General features: G+C 46.0%; 2 protein-coding genes and 1 long non-coding RNA gene across 23 annotated transcripts in view, besides 1 other annotated feature; 2 read left to right on the forward strand and 1 right to left on the reverse strand.

Annotated features, from left to right (window-relative positions):
• SYNM (synemin) overlaps positions 1-13,848 on the forward strand; it is a 36,688-nt gene extending 22,840 nt beyond the window's left edge. Inside the window, exons 4-5 of one of the 3 annotated variants that reach the window (XM_017022035.2) lie at positions 1,448-3,894; positions 8,518-13,848. In XM_017022035.2, the coding sequence (XP_016877524.1) occupies positions 1,448-3,894; positions 8,518-8,667 (2,597 nt within the window). In that variant the 3' untranslated portion in view covers positions 8,668-13,848. Of the gene's footprint in view, positions 1-1,447; positions 7,675-8,517 lie in introns of those variants that run through there. The other 2 variants (NM_015286.6, NM_145728.3) reach the window with 2 other exon arrangements.
• Positions 8,404-17,852, reverse strand: part of TTC23 (tetratricopeptide repeat domain 23) — a 114,903-nt gene continuing 105,454 nt past the window's right edge. For 8 of the 19 annotated variants that reach the window (XM_011521936.2, XM_047432954.1, XM_011521939.2 and 5 more), the window contains 3 exons: positions 11,777-11,825; positions 11,398-11,657; positions 8,404-10,208 (listed from right to left, as the gene is read on the reverse strand). In XM_011521936.2, the coding sequence (XP_011520238.1) occupies positions 10,077-10,208; positions 11,398-11,657; positions 11,777-11,825 (441 nt within the window). In that variant the 3' untranslated portion in view covers positions 8,404-10,076. Of the gene's footprint in view, positions 10,209-11,261; positions 11,348-11,397; positions 11,658-11,776; positions 11,826-17,852 lie in introns of those variants that run through there. The other 11 variants (NM_001288616.3, NM_001353869.2, XM_017022518.2 and 8 more) reach the window with 6 other exon arrangements.
• Positions 8,845-9,346: an enhancer, noted in NCBI's record as "H3K4me1 hESC enhancer chr15:99676969-99677470 (GRCh37/hg19 assembly coordinates)". NCBI's record gives its function as "activates a minimal SCP1, AML or CMV promoter by ChIP-STARR-seq in naive H9 embryonic stem cells {active_cell/tissue: H9 hESC(naive)}" and the evidence as "EXISTENCE:reporter gene assay evidence [ECO:0000049][PMID:30033119]".
• TTC23-AS1 (TTC23 antisense RNA 1) lies at positions 11,398-17,474 on the forward strand. Its single transcript, NR_186223.1, has 2 exons — positions 11,398-13,120; positions 16,498-17,474. It is a non-coding gene; the product is annotated as a TTC23 antisense RNA 1 (long non-coding RNA).

The following is a 17,852-nucleotide window of genomic DNA, read 5'->3' on the forward strand; positions in this document are numbered from 1 at the left end:
CCTTGCTCAAATTTTCCCAGTTGTGATTTTGGGGCCGAGGGAGAGCACACAGAGGGGCTAACAGCTGTTGCTGTTAACTTGCTTCATTCATTCATTCATTCATTCATTCATTCATTATTTTTCAAGCTTCTTGAAGGAAATAGAGACTTAATATTTGTAAACTAAATTTATTCTGGCAATTACATATTATGCCAAAAGCTTTAGAATAAAAATTACTAGTTGGGAATTTTTATTAGACGTTGAGCTTCTAGATAGTTCTGTTCTGTTGAGTAAATATACAGATAAGTTCCTAAGTAGTGAACTTATCAATACTTGTTAGTGTGCTTGTGTTTCTTTTATAATATTGCATAAAATAATGTTGGCCGCTTGCCCGCTAGCCGGTGGACCTAAACCCAGTCTGTAATCTTCCATGTTTCTTGTTGAATCTTAACTGTAAATGAGATGGTCCCTGCACTATTGCCTGGGGGTTCATCTTCTGGGACTTCTCAGTTGGATCAGTAGGATCAGTTGACCTGAAAAGAGGAGTCTTGTAGAAAATGTCCTGGCCTGGTCTCTTTCCTGTATCTTGGGATCTGTGCAAAGGAGGCCTCTGGCCTTGGCTCCATAAGGGAGAGAGAAAGCCCTGTCCCCGCTGAGCCAGCTGGGGTGTGGGTAGACACCAGGGGCACTCTCGGGGTGGACGGTGCTCCTGGCTGCGTTCTAACCACCAGCTGCCATTCCTAAAGAGCGGTTTCCCCTGCTGGGGTGTGGACACCCCAAAGGGTAGCACTGTCTGCAAACAGCCTGGAGCAAAGCTGGAAGCCCTGAGGACTGCCTCCCAACTTCAGGATCATGACACTAAGACAGACCGGGGTGTTTCTGCACTGGCTCCTTTTCAGATAAGTGTTAAATGTAAAATAAAAGATCAGAAAGCTTAAAGAAGTTAAATTCTTTAATACTTGTTGGCCCAATATGGAAATCAGTGAAACAGAAGAGTATATTAAATAGTGGAGGATAATGCTATTTGGTGTTTAATAATGACACACTTTGTAATTACAGAGCTCTTCTCTGCTACAGTAAATTAAACTTACCTCAAAAAGCAGAAATTAATGATTTCAAAATATAAGATTGTGAAATTTCAGCCACAAAAACGAGCACCTCTGACCTCTCTGGGATATGCATTGTGCTTTATGATTAATGTTAAGATGAGTGAGTATTTTAATATCAGTAACTGGAGAAACGTGTTAGGCTGAAGTATTTGTAGTGCTACATTTTATTGTAACAGGATTTTGTAAACTGCCAAAAAATAATTTGGGCACCAAATATAACTTATCTTTATAATGAGCTTTCTGTGGTAACAGTGTATATTTATTATGATGGAATGGGATTTGGCCTGCAACAATGCTTGTAGATGGAAAAGGGTAATGATGACTGTCATTTTAATGAATGCTTTGTTCAATTTCTACAGAATTCAGAAACAAATCCTATCACTATACCGACTCACTACTACAGAGGGAAAATGAAAGGAATCTATTTTCAAGGCAGAAAGCACCTTTGGCAAGTTTCAATCACAGCTCGGCACTGTATTCTAACCTGTCAGGGCACCGTGGATCTCAGACGGGCACATCTATTGGAGGTGATGCCAGAAGAGGCTTCTTGGGCTCGGGATATTCTTCCTCGGCCACTACCCAGCAGGAAAACTCATACGGAAAAGCCGTCAGCAGTCAAACCAACGTCAGAACTTTCTCTCCAACCTATGGCCTTTTAAGAAATACTGAGGCTCAAGTGAAAACATTCCCTGACAGACCAAAAGCCGGAGATACAAGGGAGGTCCCCGTTTACATAGGTGAAGATTCCACAATTGCCCGCGAGTCGTACCGGGATCGCCGAGACAAGGTGGCAGCAGGTGCTTCGGAAAGCACACGGTCAAATGAGAGGACCGTCATTCTGGGAAAGAAAACAGAAGTGAAAGCCACGAGGGAGCAAGAAAGAAACAGACCAGAAACCATCCGAACAAAGCCAGAAGAGAAAATGTTCGATTCTAAAGAGAAGGCTTCCGAGGAGAGAAACCTAAGATGGGAAGAATTGACAAAGTTAGATAAGGAAGCGAGACAGAGAGAAAGCCAGCAGATGAAGGAGAAGGCTAAGGAGAAGGACTCACCGAAGGAGAAGAGCGTGCGAGAGAGAGAGGTGCCGATTAGTCTAGAAGTATCCCAGGACAGAAGAGCAGAGGTGTCCCCGAAAGGTTTGCAGACGCCTGTGAAGGATGCTGGTGGTGGGACCGGTAGAGAGGCAGAAGCAAGAGAGCTACGGTTCAGGTTGGGCACCAGTGATGCCACTGGTTCTCTGCAAGGCGATTCCATGACAGAAACCGTAGCAGAAAACATCGTTACCAGTATCCTGAAGCAGTTCACTCAGTCTCCAGAGACAGAAGCATCTGCTGATTCTTTTCCAGACACAAAAGTCACTTACGTGGACAGGAAAGAGCTTCCTGGGGAAAGGAAAACAAAGACTGAAATAGTTGTGGAGTCTAAACTGACTGAGGATGTTGATGTTTCCGATGAAGCTGGCCTGGACTACCTTTTAAGCAAGGATATTAAGGAAGTGGGGCTGAAAGGCAAGTCAGCCGAGCAGATGATAGGAGACATCATCAACCTCGGCCTGAAAGGGAGGGAGGGGAGAGCAAAGGTCGTCAACGTGGAGATCGTGGAGGAGCCCGTGAGTTATGTCAGCGGGGAGAAGCCGGAGGAGTTTTCCGTCCCATTCAAAGTGGAGGAGGTCGAAGATGTGTCGCCAGGCCCCTGGGGGTTGGTTAAGGAGGAGGAAGGTTATGGAGAAAGCGATGTCACATTCTCAGTTAATCAGCATCGAAGGACCAAGCAGCCTCAGGAGAACACGACTCACGTGGAAGAAGTGACAGAGGCAGGTGATTCAGAGGGCGAGCAGAGTTATTTTGTGTCCACTCCAGATGAACACCCCGGGGGGCACGACAGAGATGACGGCTCGGTGTACGGGCAGATCCACATCGAGGAGGAATCCACCATCAGGTACTCTTGGCAGGATGAAATCGTGCAGGGGACTCGAAGGAGGACACAGAAGGACGGTGCAGTGGGCGAGAAGGTTGTGAAGCCCTTGGATGTCCCAGCGCCCTCTCTGGAGGGGGACCTGGGTTCCACTCACTGGAAAGAACAAGCTAGAAGCGGTGAATTTCATGCCGAACCCACAGTCATTGAAAAAGAAATTAAAATACCCCACGAATTCCACACCTCCATGAAGGGCATCTCCTCCAAGGAGCCCCGGCAGCAGCTGGTGGAGGTCATCGGGCAGCTGGAGGAAACCCTTCCCGAGCGCATGAGGGAGGAGCTGTCCGCCCTCACCAGAGAGGGGCAGGGTGGGCCGGGGAGCGTTTCCGTGGATGTCAAGAAGGTCCAGGGTGCTGGTGGCAGTTCCGTGACCCTGGTTGCTGAAGTCAACGTCTCACAAACTGTGGATGCCGATCGGTTAGACCTGGAGGAGCTGAGCAAAGATGAGGCCAGTGAGATGGAGAAGGCTGTGGAGTCGGTGGTTCGGGAGAGCCTGAGCAGGCAACGCAGCCCAGCGCCTGGCAGCCCAGATGAGGAAGGTGGAGCGGAGGCCCCGGCTGCTGGCATTCGCTTTAGGCGTTGGGCCACCCGGGAGCTGTACATCCCTTCAGGCGAGAGCGAGGTTGCTGGTGGGGCCTCTCACAGCTCGGGACAGCGCACTCCCCAGGGCCCAGTGTCGGCCACTGTGGAGGTCAGCAGCCCCACAGGCTTTGCCCAGTCACAGGTGCTGGAGGATGTGAGCCAGGCTGCAAGGCACATAAAACTCGGCCCCTCTGAAGTCTGGAGGACTGAGCGAATGTCATATGAAGGACCCACTGCAGAAGTGGTGGAGGTAAGTGCGGGAGGTGACCTAAGTCAGGCAGCGAGCCCGACCGGAGCCAGCCGGTCTGTGAGGCATGTCACGCTGGGTCCCGGTCAAAGTCCACTGTCCAGAGAAGTCATCTTCCTAGGCCCTGCCCCTGCCTGTCCAGAGGCATGGGGCTCGCCAGAACCTGGCCCAGCAGAGTCTTCTGCAGATATGGACGGATCAGGGAGGCACAGCACATTTGGCTGCAGACAATTTCATGCTGAAAAGGAGATTATTTTTCAGGGCCCCATTTCTGCTGCAGGGAAGGTTGGTGATTATTTTGCAACAGAAGAGTCAGTGGGTACCCAGACTTCTGTCAGGCAACTCCAGTTAGGCCCTAAAGAAGGGTTCAGTGGGCAAATCCAGTTCACAGCTCCACTTTCAGACAAGGTGGAGTTGGGTGTCATAGGAGATTCTGTACACATGGAAGGGTTGCCAGGGAGCAGCACATCCATCAGGCACATCAGCATTGGGCCTCAGAGGCATCAGACCACCCAGCAGATAGTTTACCATGGGCTGGTTCCCCAACTGGGGGAATCTGGTGACTCAGAGAGCACTGTGCACGGAGAGGGCTCAGCAGATGTGCACCAGGCCACTCACAGTCATACCTCGGGTAGACAAACCGTTATGACTGAAAAGAGCACCTTCCAAAGTGTCGTTTCTGAATCTCCCCAGGAGGATAGTGCAGAGGACACATCAGGGGCAGAAATGACATCGGGTGTTAGCAGATCCTTTAGGCACATTCGACTAGGTCCTACAGAAACGGAAACCTCTGAACACATTGCCATCCGTGGACCCGTGTCCAGAACATTTGTGCTTGCTGGTTCAGCGGACTCCCCTGAGCTAGGCAAGTTAGCAGACAGCAGCAGAACGCTAAGGCACATTGCACCAGGGCCCAAAGAAACTTCGTTTACCTTTCAGATGGATGTGAGTAACGTAGAGGCGATCCGCAGCCGGACACAGGAAGCGGGAGCTCTCGGTGTGTCTGACCGTGGTTCCTGGAGAGACGCGGACAGTAGGAATGACCAGGCAGTTGGTGTGAGCTTTAAGGCCTCTGCTGGGGAAGGAGACCAGGCCCACAGAGAACAGGGCAAGGAGCAGGCCATGTTTGATAAGAAGGTGCAGCTCCAGAGAATGGTAGACCAAAGGTCGGTGATTTCAGATGAAAAGAAAGTTGCCCTCCTCTATCTAGACAATGAGGAGGAGGAGAATGATGGGCATTGGTTTTAATAAGCAGAAACATTTTGTTTTAATGGCAGCCTGTTGGCGACGTGCCAACATCCAAAGGCCTTAACTTATTTTAAGAGGCCGAGGGAGTCTATGAAAATCTCCCCTTTTTTACTTTTTTAAAGAGTACTCCCGGCATGGTCAATTTCCTTTATAGTTAATCCGTAAAGGTTTCCAGTTAATTCATGCCTTAAAAGGCACTGCAATTTTATTTTTGAGTTGGGACTTTTACAAAACACTTTTTTCCCTGGAGTCTTCTCTCCACTTCTGGAGATGAATTTCTATGTTTTGCACCTGGTCACAGACATGGCTTGCATCTGTTTGAAACTACAATTAATTATAGATGTCAAAACATTAACCAGATTAAAGTAATATATTTAAGAGTAAATTTTGCTTGCATGTGCTAATATGAAATAACAGACTAACATTTTAGGGGAAAAATAAATACAATTTAGACTCTAAAAAGTCTTTTCAAAAAGAAATGGGAAATAGGCAGACTGTTTATGTTAAAAAAATTCTTGCTAAATGATTTCATCTTTAGGAAAAAATTACTTGCCATATAGAGCTAAATTCATCTTAAGACTTGAATGAATTGCTTTCTATGTACAGAACTTTAAACAATATAGTATTTATGGCGAGGACAGCTGTAGTCTGTTGTGATATTTCACATTCTATTTGCACAGGTTCCCTGGCACTGGTAGGGTAGATGATTATTGGGAATCGCTTACAGTACCATTTCATTTTTTGGCACTAGGTCATTAAGTAGCACACAGTCTGAATGCCCTTTTCTGGAGTGGCCAGTTCCTATCAGACTGTGCAGACTTGCGCTTCTCTGCACCTTATCCCTTAGCACCCAAACATTTAATTTCACTGGTGGGAGGTAGACCTTGAAGACAATGAAGAGAATGCCGATACTCAGACTGCAGCTGGACCGGCAAGCTGGCTGTGTACAGGAAAATTGGAAGCACACAGTGGACTGTGCCTCTTAAAGATGCCTTTCCCAACCCTCCATTCATGGGATGCAGGTCTTTCTGAGCTCAAGGGTGAAAGATGAATACAATAACAACCATGAACCCACCTCACGGAAGCTTTTTTTGCACTTTGAACAGAAGTCATTGCAGTTGGGGTGTTTTGTCCAGGGAAACAGTTTATTAAATAGAAGGATGTTTTGGGGAAGGAACTGGATATCTCTCCTGCAGCCCAGCACCGAGATACCCAGGACGGGCCTGGGGGGCGAGAAAGGCCCCCATGCTCATGGGCCGCGGAGTGTGGACCTGTAGATAGGCACCACCGAGTTTAAGATACTGGGATGAGCATGCTTCATTGGATTCATTTTATTTTACACGTCAGTATTGTTTTAAAGTTTCTGTCTGTAAAGTGTAGCATCATATATAAAAAGAGTTTCGCTAGCAGCGCATTTTTTTTAGTTCAGGCTAGCTTCTTTCACATAATGCTGTCTCAGCTGTATTTCCAGTAACACAGCATCATCGCACTGACTGTGGCGCACTGGGGAATAACAGTCTGAGCTAGCACCACCCTCAGCCAGGCTACAACGACAGCACTGGAGGGTCTTCCCTCTCAGATTCACCTGGAGGCCCTCAGACCCCCAGGGTGCACGTCTCCCCAGGTCCTGGGAGTGGCTACCGCAGGTAGTTTCTGGAGAGCACGTTTTCTTCATTGATAAGTGGAGGAGAAATGCAGCACAGCTTTCAAGATACTATTTTAAAAACACCATGAATCAGATAGGGAAAGAAAGTTGATTGGAATAGCAAGTTTAAACCTTTGTTGTCCATCTGCCAAATGAACTAGTGATTGTCAGACTGGTATGGAGGTGACTGCTTTGTAAGGTTTTGTCGTTTCTAATACAGACAGAGATGTGCTGATTTTGTTTTAGCTGTAACAGGTAATGGTTTTTGGATAGATGATTGACTGGTGAGAATTTGGTCAAGGTGACAGCCTCCTGTCTGATGACAGGACAGACTGGTGGTGAGGAGTCTAAGTGGGCTCAGTTTGATGTCAGTGTCTGGGCTCATGACTTGTAAATGGAAGCTGATGTGAACAGGTAATTAATATTATGACCCACTTCTATTTACTTTGGGAAATATCTTGGATCTTAATTATCATCTGCAAGTTTCAAGAAGTATTCTGCCAAAAGTATTTACAAGTATGGACTCATGAGCTATTGTTGGTTGCTAAATGTGAATCACGCGGGAGTGAGTGTGCCCTTCACACTGTGACATTGTGACATTGTGACAAGCTCCATGTCCTTTAAAATCAGTCACTCTGCACACAAGAGAAATCAACTTCGTGGTTGGATGGGGCCGGAACACAACCAGTCTTTTTGTATTTATTGTTACTGAGACAAAACAGTACTCACTGAGTGTTTTTCAGTTTCCTACTGGTGGTTTTGATATTGTTTGTTTAAGATGTATATTTAGAATGACATCATCTAAGAAGCTGATTTTGCTAAACTCCTGTTCCCTACAATGGGAAATGTCACAAGAATGTGCAAAAATAAAAATCTGAGGAAAAAACCCACATTGTTCCTAAAGAGAATGAATATTTTCAGTAGATTTTGATGTTTCCTTTAAACTCTAAGTAAAGAATCTGTGTGTTTACATGCATGTTTTTAGGGTAGCAGAGAATTACTGGGCAGAATATATATGAAAAGTTCCAGTTCTCTAATTCCTCACCTGAATCGGAACTCAATATTGGGAGCACAGAGCTAGAAAGCCTGGCAGACAGAGCATAAGCCAATTGGCTTGTAATCAAATATACACTGGACAATTTGTGGTAAAAATGTCATCATCACAGCCTGAATGACTAGTGGCAGTAGGACACCACCAACCATCCCATTTGGGATGGAGAGGTTTCTTGGGATGTGGTACTTTGAGTGCTAAAACCAGGACTGTCCTGGGCATACCAGGACAGTTGGTTACCTTATAAGTGCAAATTGGAGGGTTAACCCTAAGGCATGGCCATTTCTTAGGGGCTTGAAAAAACTGAGGTAGTTTGAGACAAAGGAATAGCTAGATATCTTTACCCGTTTGTAACCTTGTAGCCCTTTACCAAAAATAGAAAAACACAAGTAGCTATAGTCTTCCTCTCGTTGAAGTCAACAGAATTAACAGATGGGAGACATTGGAGGGAACATTCCTAAATTCATTGCTTCCTGGGGTGGGGTGGGGTGGGGGCGCTAAATTTTAAAAATGTGTTTTAGTTTTTGTGATTCCAAGCTACGCTTCAAGAAGTACAGAAAGGAAGAAGTAACATCAGAATTCACATTTATTTCAAAAACTCGGCATGGACTCTCAGTTCAGGCTGCTGTAACAGAAAGCCGTAGCCTGAAAGGCTTAAACAACAAACATTTATTTCTTACAGTTCTGGAAGCTGGGAAGTCTCAAGGTGCCAACAGTTTCATTTCCTGGTGAGGGCTCTCTTCCGGGCCTGCAGACGGCTGTCTTCTCACTGTGTCCTCACATGGTGGAGAGAGAGATCATCTCTCTGGTGTCTCTCCTTATAAAGCACTAATCCCATTCATCAGGGCTCCACCCTCATAACCTAATCACCTCTCCAAGACCCCACCCCCAATACCATCCCTTTGGGGATTAGGGCTTCAACGTGAATTGGGAGCATATGAACATTCACCCCTTAGCTGACTCCACCCATGTCAACTAGATAGGACACACGGTGAGTAGTGACATCTTACACGTTTTTAGCACACTGCTGATGTCCGACAGGCCTGGGTCTGGGACCAGTGTGTACCAGCAAGCATGGTCTGTGGGGTCAGCTGTCACGCTCCTGAGGAAGACAATGGTCCCTGCTTCTCTCCACCCTGTCGTGGCTCTACTGAGTTTATTTTCCCCATCAATACTGGAGGTGGTGCCCTGCACAAATGGCCCCAGGGTGGTTTTGATGTCCCACTGGGGGCTGGAGGGGAGGGCCCTGTGCTGCAATCTGCTGTCATAGCACCAGCCTGCAGCCTCATGGCCACAGTCTGTGGGACCAGGGGAGGGAGGGGAAGGGACATCACTGCCCACACCTGCACCCCTACCCCTGGGTGTTCCATCCACCTCGATCTGGCACTGGATCTCCTCGTTGACATCGTGGAGGAAGGCACTCAAAGCTTCCTGTTCGACTTTGCCATCCTCACACGACTATGGCCTCCTTCCAGGGGGCTGAAGACTGCTGTGTACACGATAGTGTGCCAACTCAGGAAGCAGCTCCAGGTGGCATCCAGGTTTGTCCTGCCTGCAGTGGAGGCCACAGGAGGGATGCGAAGCAGCAGGGAGTCTGCGGTCTTCCCCCCGCAGCCTCCGGCTAGCCTTTCTTTTCACTCCCTTACACCTGCCTCCTGGGCCCCAGGCCAAGTCAGGTGTGTCGGCCTCCTGCCCCTCCTACTGGGCTCTTTCTCAAACCCCTTTTCAGGCTCCGAAGAACTCTGAGGCAGGCTGCACTTTGAAAACACATGCTGACAGCAGCGTGTTCAGGTTTCCCTTTATTAGCGTTTTCTTCTCATGTTATTCTCAATCCCTATTAGCCTCCTATAAGAAAGGACTTCCTGAAGTTCACTGTCCAGATCTAACTCCACACCTATGCAAGGAGCTGTGTGTACAAGCAGATGCCGGGCTGACTCCTGCACAGGGCGCACTGAACTGTTGAAGAGAAGTTTTTCAGCCACAGTAGTGCTGATGGGTAAAAATTCTTGTTGGCAAGAAAAACCACTTAGGTGATAGAAAACTGCTTTATAGCATATATCACCCTGAAGGGCATCCACTGTCAAAATGTGGCCCACGGGAGGCTTATGGTCTCACTGTTGCATGTTGGGGCCAACAGTTGGCCTTGGAAATCTGTATCCTGACTGTTGAATTCCATTTTCTAGGCGGAGGTGATTTGTACAGCACCCTAAATGACAGTGCCCAGGAATGTCCTAGGCTTTTTCAGGGTGGGGGCCTCAGTCTGCTGTTGTGCCGGGCCGGGCCTTCCCCAGCAGGGTGTCCTGAGGGATGCTGGTGCAGAAGGCCACTTTGGCTTTTGATGCCTGCCTTGGCTTCGAAGCAACCTTGGGGGCCCTGCAGACAAGCAGAGGGTGGGGTGAGTGTGGTGCCCCTCAGCCCCCCACACCGTTCCCATCCAGCCTTTGCTGCCCAGCAGGTGCCCAGACCCATTTATGAGAAGACTTGGTAGGGGCTATAAATGAGAGGAGAATTGTAGCACAGAGCATAAAACATGAGATGTTTTCCTCCCATCTTTTATTTTTTTAATTTTTTTTTTTTCAGACAGAGTCTCACTCTGTCACCCAGGCTGGAGTGCAGTGGCCCCATCTCGGCTCCCTGCAACTTCCGCCTCCCAGGTTCAAGCAACTCTCATGCCTCAGTCTCCCGAGTAGCCAGGATTACAGGCACATGCCACCACGCCCAGCTAATTTTTGTATTTTTAGTAGAGACGAAGTTTTGCCATGTTGGCCAGTCTGGTCTCAAACTCCTGGCCTCAAGTGATCCACCGCCTCGGCCTCCCAAGGTGCTGGGATTATAGGCATGAGTCACCTCGCCTGGCCCCTCCCATCTTTTAAAATCACCTGTGACCATCCTCACTGAGCTGAGGCCCTCAACCCTTAGCTGGCTTGGTGAGCAGGACATGGGTGAGGAGGATGGTCAGGGTTGCACTGGAGGCCTCCCTGGCTCGCCTTCCCTGCCCTCAAAGGGGATGGCGCCCTGCTGGCCAGGTTGTGTCTGCTCCGGGCTGTGGCCCTGTTTCCCTGAGCAGACTCAGGCAGCCCTGGGGCTGCTCTCTGCGGACCAGGCTCTGTGAGGTAGGCCCTCCACGGCAGAGCGCTGGGCCTCTGCTCGGGCTGAGAAAGGACGTAGGGGCCAGCCTTTAAGGTCAGTCAGTGAACCTTCCGGCTCCAGTCCTGACGGGCATCCGAGGGCAGAGGGAAGCCGGAAGCAGGGCTGCAGGAGGCCACAGGGATTCCCGGGGCCCTCCCCCTGCAGCAGGTGCCTTAGCCTGCAGGGGCTGGTCTGCAGGAAGACAACATCCAGCATATATTTCTGACTTAAAGGATGAATTATTTTTAAATACCTGGGCAAGGAAGATCTTTTACAACTCGGGTTTCAAAGGAACTTGTCCTTTATGCAAGTTATGGGAAGTCAGCAAAACATTCCAGAGAAGGTTACACAGAACCTTCTAGAACCAGCTTTCTCTTGAGATTCTGAATGGAAAGGGAATGAGATAGAGAAAGTGTGAGGGACGCCAACTCACGTGGACAGCATGCCCATGGCCTGCTGGGTGGCCAGAGTCCTTTTGTCCTGCGGTCCATATAAGAGGGTCTGGATCTGGAGACACTGTAGAACACCAAGCAGCTATCATGAGGCTATGGAAGTGTCGCTGAGAGCAGGAAACTAAGGTCTCCCTTGAATGAGAGAAAGATGACCTCATTCTTAGGCCCTGCTGTGATGGAATTAGCATGCTCCTGGGATGTCTCCTAGTGACTGACCTTTGGTTTGGATGTTCTGAGGGATCTAGGCAAAAGTGAACAGTTTTAGCACTATTTCACAAAACTCTCTGTGACTATCTGTATGCAAAAAATAGATTTAAAAGTAGTATTTTTAAAAATAAAGGCAAGAACCTTGGTACTGACCAGAGGATGGGCTCCAGTTTCTATTTTTAAATGTGGCCCTTGTTATAGCCTGGAAAAGATTTAAAAAAATAGTTTTGTTTTTTTTGTAAACACATACTCTACTTTTATTAATATATAGGCTGTCTATACTCTTGACTACACAGCAATGTCTTAGTTATTAGGAACCAAATATTCAGCTTATGGACTACCCAGGGCTGGCTTTGGCTTGATTTCTCCCTTCTGCTTACTTTAAGTCTTGCCATTTGATTGCTTGTAGTAGGCTAGGGCAAATCAAGGAGAGGAGAAAGATTAAAGTTGTGCCCAAAATGGCCAAAATAATTTTGAGAAAGAATGAGGTGGAGAGGTGGAGGAACTTGCTTTACTGAATGCCAAAGACCCTTTTATTTTTTTAAATAAAGTAATTAAGACAGCATGTTTGTCACCCGGGGTAGACAAAAAGACCAGTGGAACAGGGCAGAGAGCCCAAGCCTTGACAGATGACAGAAATGGCCTTGCGGGATTGGTGAGGAAGAGGTGGGCTAGTCAATAAATGGGTACTGGGACCGCTGGTTTTCCAAATGGAAGAAAATGGATCACTACCCCAAATCAAACACAAATATTAAGCTCAAGAAAGATTTGAAGGACTAAGTGTGAAATGCAAAACTTGGAGCTTTTAGATGAAAATACTGGAAAATATATATATATATATTTTTTGATGGAGTCTCACTCTGTCGCCCAGACTGGAGTGCAAGTGGGGTGATTTTGGCTCACTGCAACCTCCACCTCCTGGGTTCATGTGATTTTCCTGCCTCAGCCTCCCGAGTAGCTGAGATTACAGGTGCCCGCCACCACACTCAGCTAATTTTTGCATTTTTAGTAGAGATGAGGTTTCACCATGTTGGCCAGGCTGGTCTCAAACTCCTGACTGCAGGTGATCCACCTGCCTTGGCCTCCCAAAGTGCGGGGATTATAGGAGTGAGCCACCATGCCTGACCGGAAAATACGATCTTGAGGTAGGGAAGTATTTCTTAGACAAGATCTAGACAAAGCAAAAGTGAAAGACTGATAAAATGTAACTATGTGAAAACCTAAAATATTTGTGCACCAAAATTCACCATAAGCAAAGTAGAAAGACAAGCCACGCTGAGGAAAGATTCTTGCAGTGCACAGAAATGAGAAAGGTTTAACATTCAGAATACATGAAGAATTCCTATAAGGTAATGAGAAATACCAAACCAAACCAAAACCTCTCAATAGAATAACACTCAAAAGATATAAACAGATTATTCAAAGAGTTGAAATCTGATGAAATAAACATGCTTAATCTCATTAACAACCAGAAATACAAACTAAAACCTCAATGAGGTAGGTACCATTTCACCCACCAGACTGCAAAAACTACCAAGTTTTGTTAAAGATACAAAGCAACAAGAATTCTTTTATATATTGATAGTGGGTATTCAAACTGGTATAGCCCCTTTGTAAAACAATTTAGCAATATTTAGTAATGAATATGTAAACTGTGATATGTATATATTATATATGTATGTGATATATAAATGTTTGATATATGTATGTGTATATATAACCACATAGATGAATCTCATGATTACAAAGTCAAGGGGAAAAAGAAAACGACAGATGAATGCATATAATATGTATTATAATTTAATATGAAGTTTTAAAACATGCAAAACAAAACCATAGTAAAATAAGAAGAGCATGGGAATGATATCAAATTTAAAAAAGTAGTTATCTGGGGATGGGGTAGGTATAGAGGGGACTTCAACTGGATGGGTCATGTTTTATTTCTTATACTGAATGGTGAGTTCAAAGGTCTTTGTTATGTTATCCATACTTTTCTGCATAACAAATGTTTCATAATATATTTTTTAAAAATCGGATGAATTGTGCTACATAAATAGCTTGAGTAAAAAAAAGTGTGAGGGTTTGGGGACTTACTACTGAAGCCTGTTTATTCATTCTGATCTGCCAACCATTTTTAGGTCTTCAAGAAAATTAAAATGCAAGCAGCCAAATGCCTTTGTCTTTATAAGCTGTGGAAACTATAAAAACTGAATGTTTCAGTCTGAGGAATTGAGAATGTGGTTGTCCTTTGAAAAAAGTAACTATCAGATGAGAATATGACAGGATTTTTTAAATAACAGAAAATATTCACTATTTCTTAGTCATTTGACTAAGAAATATACAATATCAAGAAGTAGTAAACTCTTCTTGTTCTTTTATTTAATGCATAATTCAAATTCTACAAAGGCAAGGATCCCTGTCCCTCTGTCCAACAAGCCCTTGACTTTCTAAATCTGCACGGGGACCTTGGCCTGGCCTAGGCAATGGGCTGAGCTGCTCATTCCATGGGGTTGAGCCAGCATTGCTTTAATGCTTTAGGCTGTTGCGACCCTAGAAATTTAGGAACTTTGACTAAGCTCCGTTGCTCTGAGGGGAGGGGATGCGGACATGTTTTTGACAGCCATGGTACCTGATGAAAACCCTTCCAGCACCCTGCTTGGGTTACAGCTATTGGAAGCCTGGGCACACTGGGCCTGGCAGAGGAGGTGGTGCTCAGAAAGGGCCACAGAGCAAGAGAGGCAAGATGCTTCCCCCACTGCCACCCATCAGTGAGAGGCCCCTCTCTCCAGGGTTAACACTTCTTACCAGAATAGACTCTATTTTGCCCAGAAATACCTTCACTCAGTGTAAAAGATCAGGGCTAATTTTAAAGCCACCCAAACTTCCCTGTGTTTATATATTTATGAGTGCCTCTGATGCAGCTCATTTTGAGAGGTGATGTTGTCACTGCTTGTTGTTAATTCATTCACTGTGGCATTAGAGTTTTACTGACACTGTAACAGTTAGTTGAGACAGTCTGAGGTCTCAGTTCACTCTGCCTTAACAGATTGCCTTCAAAATCTAATACTCAGAGGAATTTCCATCCTACCCCTTTGGTGACTGAAGCTGCTGCTCCTTGGCCCCTCATTCTCTAGGGAAAGACATACAGCATTGGTGAATATGCACGAATCCCCGGGAAGAATGAGAAGGCAACTGACAGTGCTTATGCAAATTCTCAGTGTCTACTAACCATCCCCACCTGTTACAAACCCGTGTGCTCACCATTTTCCCTGGGAGCATTTTCACTACTGTGTTCGTAGAGAAGAGTGGAGTTAGGAGAGAAGATTCTGGTTGGGTCAAGAGATCCTTTTCAGTAATCAAGCCCTGAAGAGGGGCGCCCCATCCTTACCCTACCCCTAGACCTTTGTCAAAACTCAACTCTTCCTGGTATTAATATATTTGTTTCCCCTAAGGTTACTTATCCTTACTAAGGAGATTTGTCCAAAATTCCAGCTGAAGTGAAAAGAGATGCAAAGGGGTGTCAGCTAGGAGACAGAAACAAATCCTCAGCCCCTCACTAATCCCTTGTGTGATTACAGTGTAAGAGCAGGCACCAAGGCTGGAAAGAATGGTCATCCATTAAATGACTACTCTTCCAAAGATAGCTTTTTAAAACAGCAAAATAACCCATTATGGACTTCTACTAGAAAATGTTTTATATAGCTATATATTTATCTAAGAAACATAAATTGAATTTTTCAGCATTCTGCTCTTCTTAGCTAAATTTACTTAAGCATTTTTGTGTGAAGTAGGTGTTTTGATTCTTTTGTTAAAAACACAGGCATTGACAGAGAGGAAGTCAATAAATGTTAATTGAACCTGCTGGAGCCAGGCATTGTAAACATGTCGCTGAGCTAAGTAAAGAACTCGCCAAACCTTGACAGTAGAACATTCTCCACCATAAATAAAGATATTCTGTGCTCCCCAGATTCTTCTGAGAGGCAGATATGCTGCTCCTTGTAATCAGCCACTAAGGGGTGTTTCTCACTTTTCTTTAAAGTGAACAATAAACTGAACTCCGGAGTGTCCAGATGAATTTTAGGAGCCATTCATTACATTGCTCTTATTCTCTTTGATTTTATATGCAGGGTTGTGAGAAGTCACTTGTGTTTCTACTATTCCTTAAATACCAAACAGGGAGCTTTTCTTTCCCTTGCAGGAAGACAAAAGGGAATGTCTGCTTTTATACCAGCCTGCAGGCTGTCCCTAAATGGGGCCATGTTTGTCTTGCTCACCACTGTGTTCCAGGGCCTTGCACAACCCCTGGCACACAAGCCGATGCAGCAGTTGCTAAGTGAGTGATTAAATAGGACAAACATGTAAGCTGGGGAGATTCTTACATGGAGCCTGTAGACTCCTTAAGACACAGTTGGACCCTAGGGCTCCAGTGGCTCATCAGTTACTAAAACCTCTGCTAGGGAAGTTCCACTGGGTGTGTGGTGTGAAAAGCCCTCGAAATTCCAGTCCAGCCTTCAACAGGAGAAAGACTGCCGTTCACTATTTGCTGCTTACTCTTAGGACTCATTCGGAAAGCTGGGGTAGTTGAGAGACAATCTTAAGCATTTGATGCAAACTTTCAGAATTCTTTTTGACATGACCTTGAGGTTTGAAAGCTAGGAGTCTAAGGAGCCCAGGAGCCAAGAAACCTGGGATAGGTGCCGTCAGTTAGCCATCCTCCTAGCTGTGGTGGCTTTGCGCTAACACCCTTCCCAGTGTGGACAGAGGGGTGGCTCAGTGGCAGCTATGGGATCAGGGTTAGGTGACTCGGTATACTCTCATTTAAAAACCCACAGTAATTCAATACCCAAACTCAGGAAGAATATTTTCTGTTTCAGGGGGATCTGTGAAAATGTGCAGCTGTTACTCAGGGCCATTTTCATAGCAGCATCCTGCAGAAGTAGATTGGTGGTGTCTCCCTTCCTCCCTTAACCTCCTGCCTAAGGTCCCAGAATTGCATCATAACATCTATTGAGGAATTTCAGATGATGAAGGTACTGATGGAACACATCCTATTTATTCATGGAGACAGTGCAGCAAGGACTGCAACTAGAGGGTCATTTAAGTTACAAGGCTACGTGACTCCATAATAGAAAATTGAGAAAAGCATACTATTCATTTCTGGTAAGGTTCCAAGCCAGGCTCGTCAAGCTATTACTTGTATTTTGTACTTACATGAAATGAAAAAGCTAAAGAAAGGTAAATTTTAAAAAATTGCTCTAATGCTGAGGATCTGAAATCACTACTCTTCTTTATACACATTATCCAATGCCAGATTACGTCCACGGGGGAGAAATTACTCAGAAACTTGAAAATTGTGCTTCTGTTTTCATGTCAATTCTCAAGGCTGATACTAAGAGAAAAGGTGACTTCGGAAGCCTTACTACGTGGAAGCGTGAAATGTGATAAATCTTTCAAGAAATACAAGTACGCTTTCATTTACCAACCATTACAAGGCAGGCAGAAATGACTAACTTGGGGGAATTGAAGGAATAAACCAAAACGTAATTCATCAGACAGGCTTCCCCTACAGAAACACAGTCAGGGGTAGTGGGTGGTTTTTCTGAGCCACCCAGATACCAGCCTCATCCTGGCTGGACCCACGTCTTTGTCCACATTCGCCACTTCCTGAAGCAGCTGTCTGCTGAACACCAGCAACACGCCAACCCTGTGGCTACTTCGGGGATGGAGTGGAGAATGGGCAGAAGTGAGCCTTGCTCTCAGGGGGCTTCTAATGGAGTAGCGGAGAAAGATATTTTTAAAATACATAAATAAACGTGTCAACAACTTGTGATAAGAGCTACAAAAGAAAAAAGAAGACGACGGGGCTATGAATGAATACCGGAGGGCCTTGGTGGTGGTCGATCCAGGGTAGCTGGGCCAGCAGAGGCCTATGTGAGGAGGTGACACTGGAGTGACACCTGAGGACTGGGGAGTCGGCAGGTGAAAAACAAACAGGGCAGGATGGGGATGGAGGGAGGTGGTGGGGATGGGGGGAGGTGGTGGTGGTGGTGGTGGGCTCACAGGGAGAAGGAATTCCGAGTGTTTGTTTGAGAGACCACACCCCTGCATCCTCTTTCTCTCAGTCTATGTCTCTCTCTCTGTCTCTGTCTCTCTCTCTTTCTTTCTCTGTCTGTCCCTCTCACCCAGCCCTGCAGCTCCCTTACTTGAAGGGACACTGATCCTATGACCA

Source organism: Homo sapiens, chromosome 15, assembly GCF_000001405.40.
Source record: "Homo sapiens chromosome 15, GRCh38.p14 Primary Assembly".
Lineage (NCBI taxonomy): Eukaryota > Metazoa > Chordata > Mammalia > Primates > Hominidae > Homo > Homo sapiens.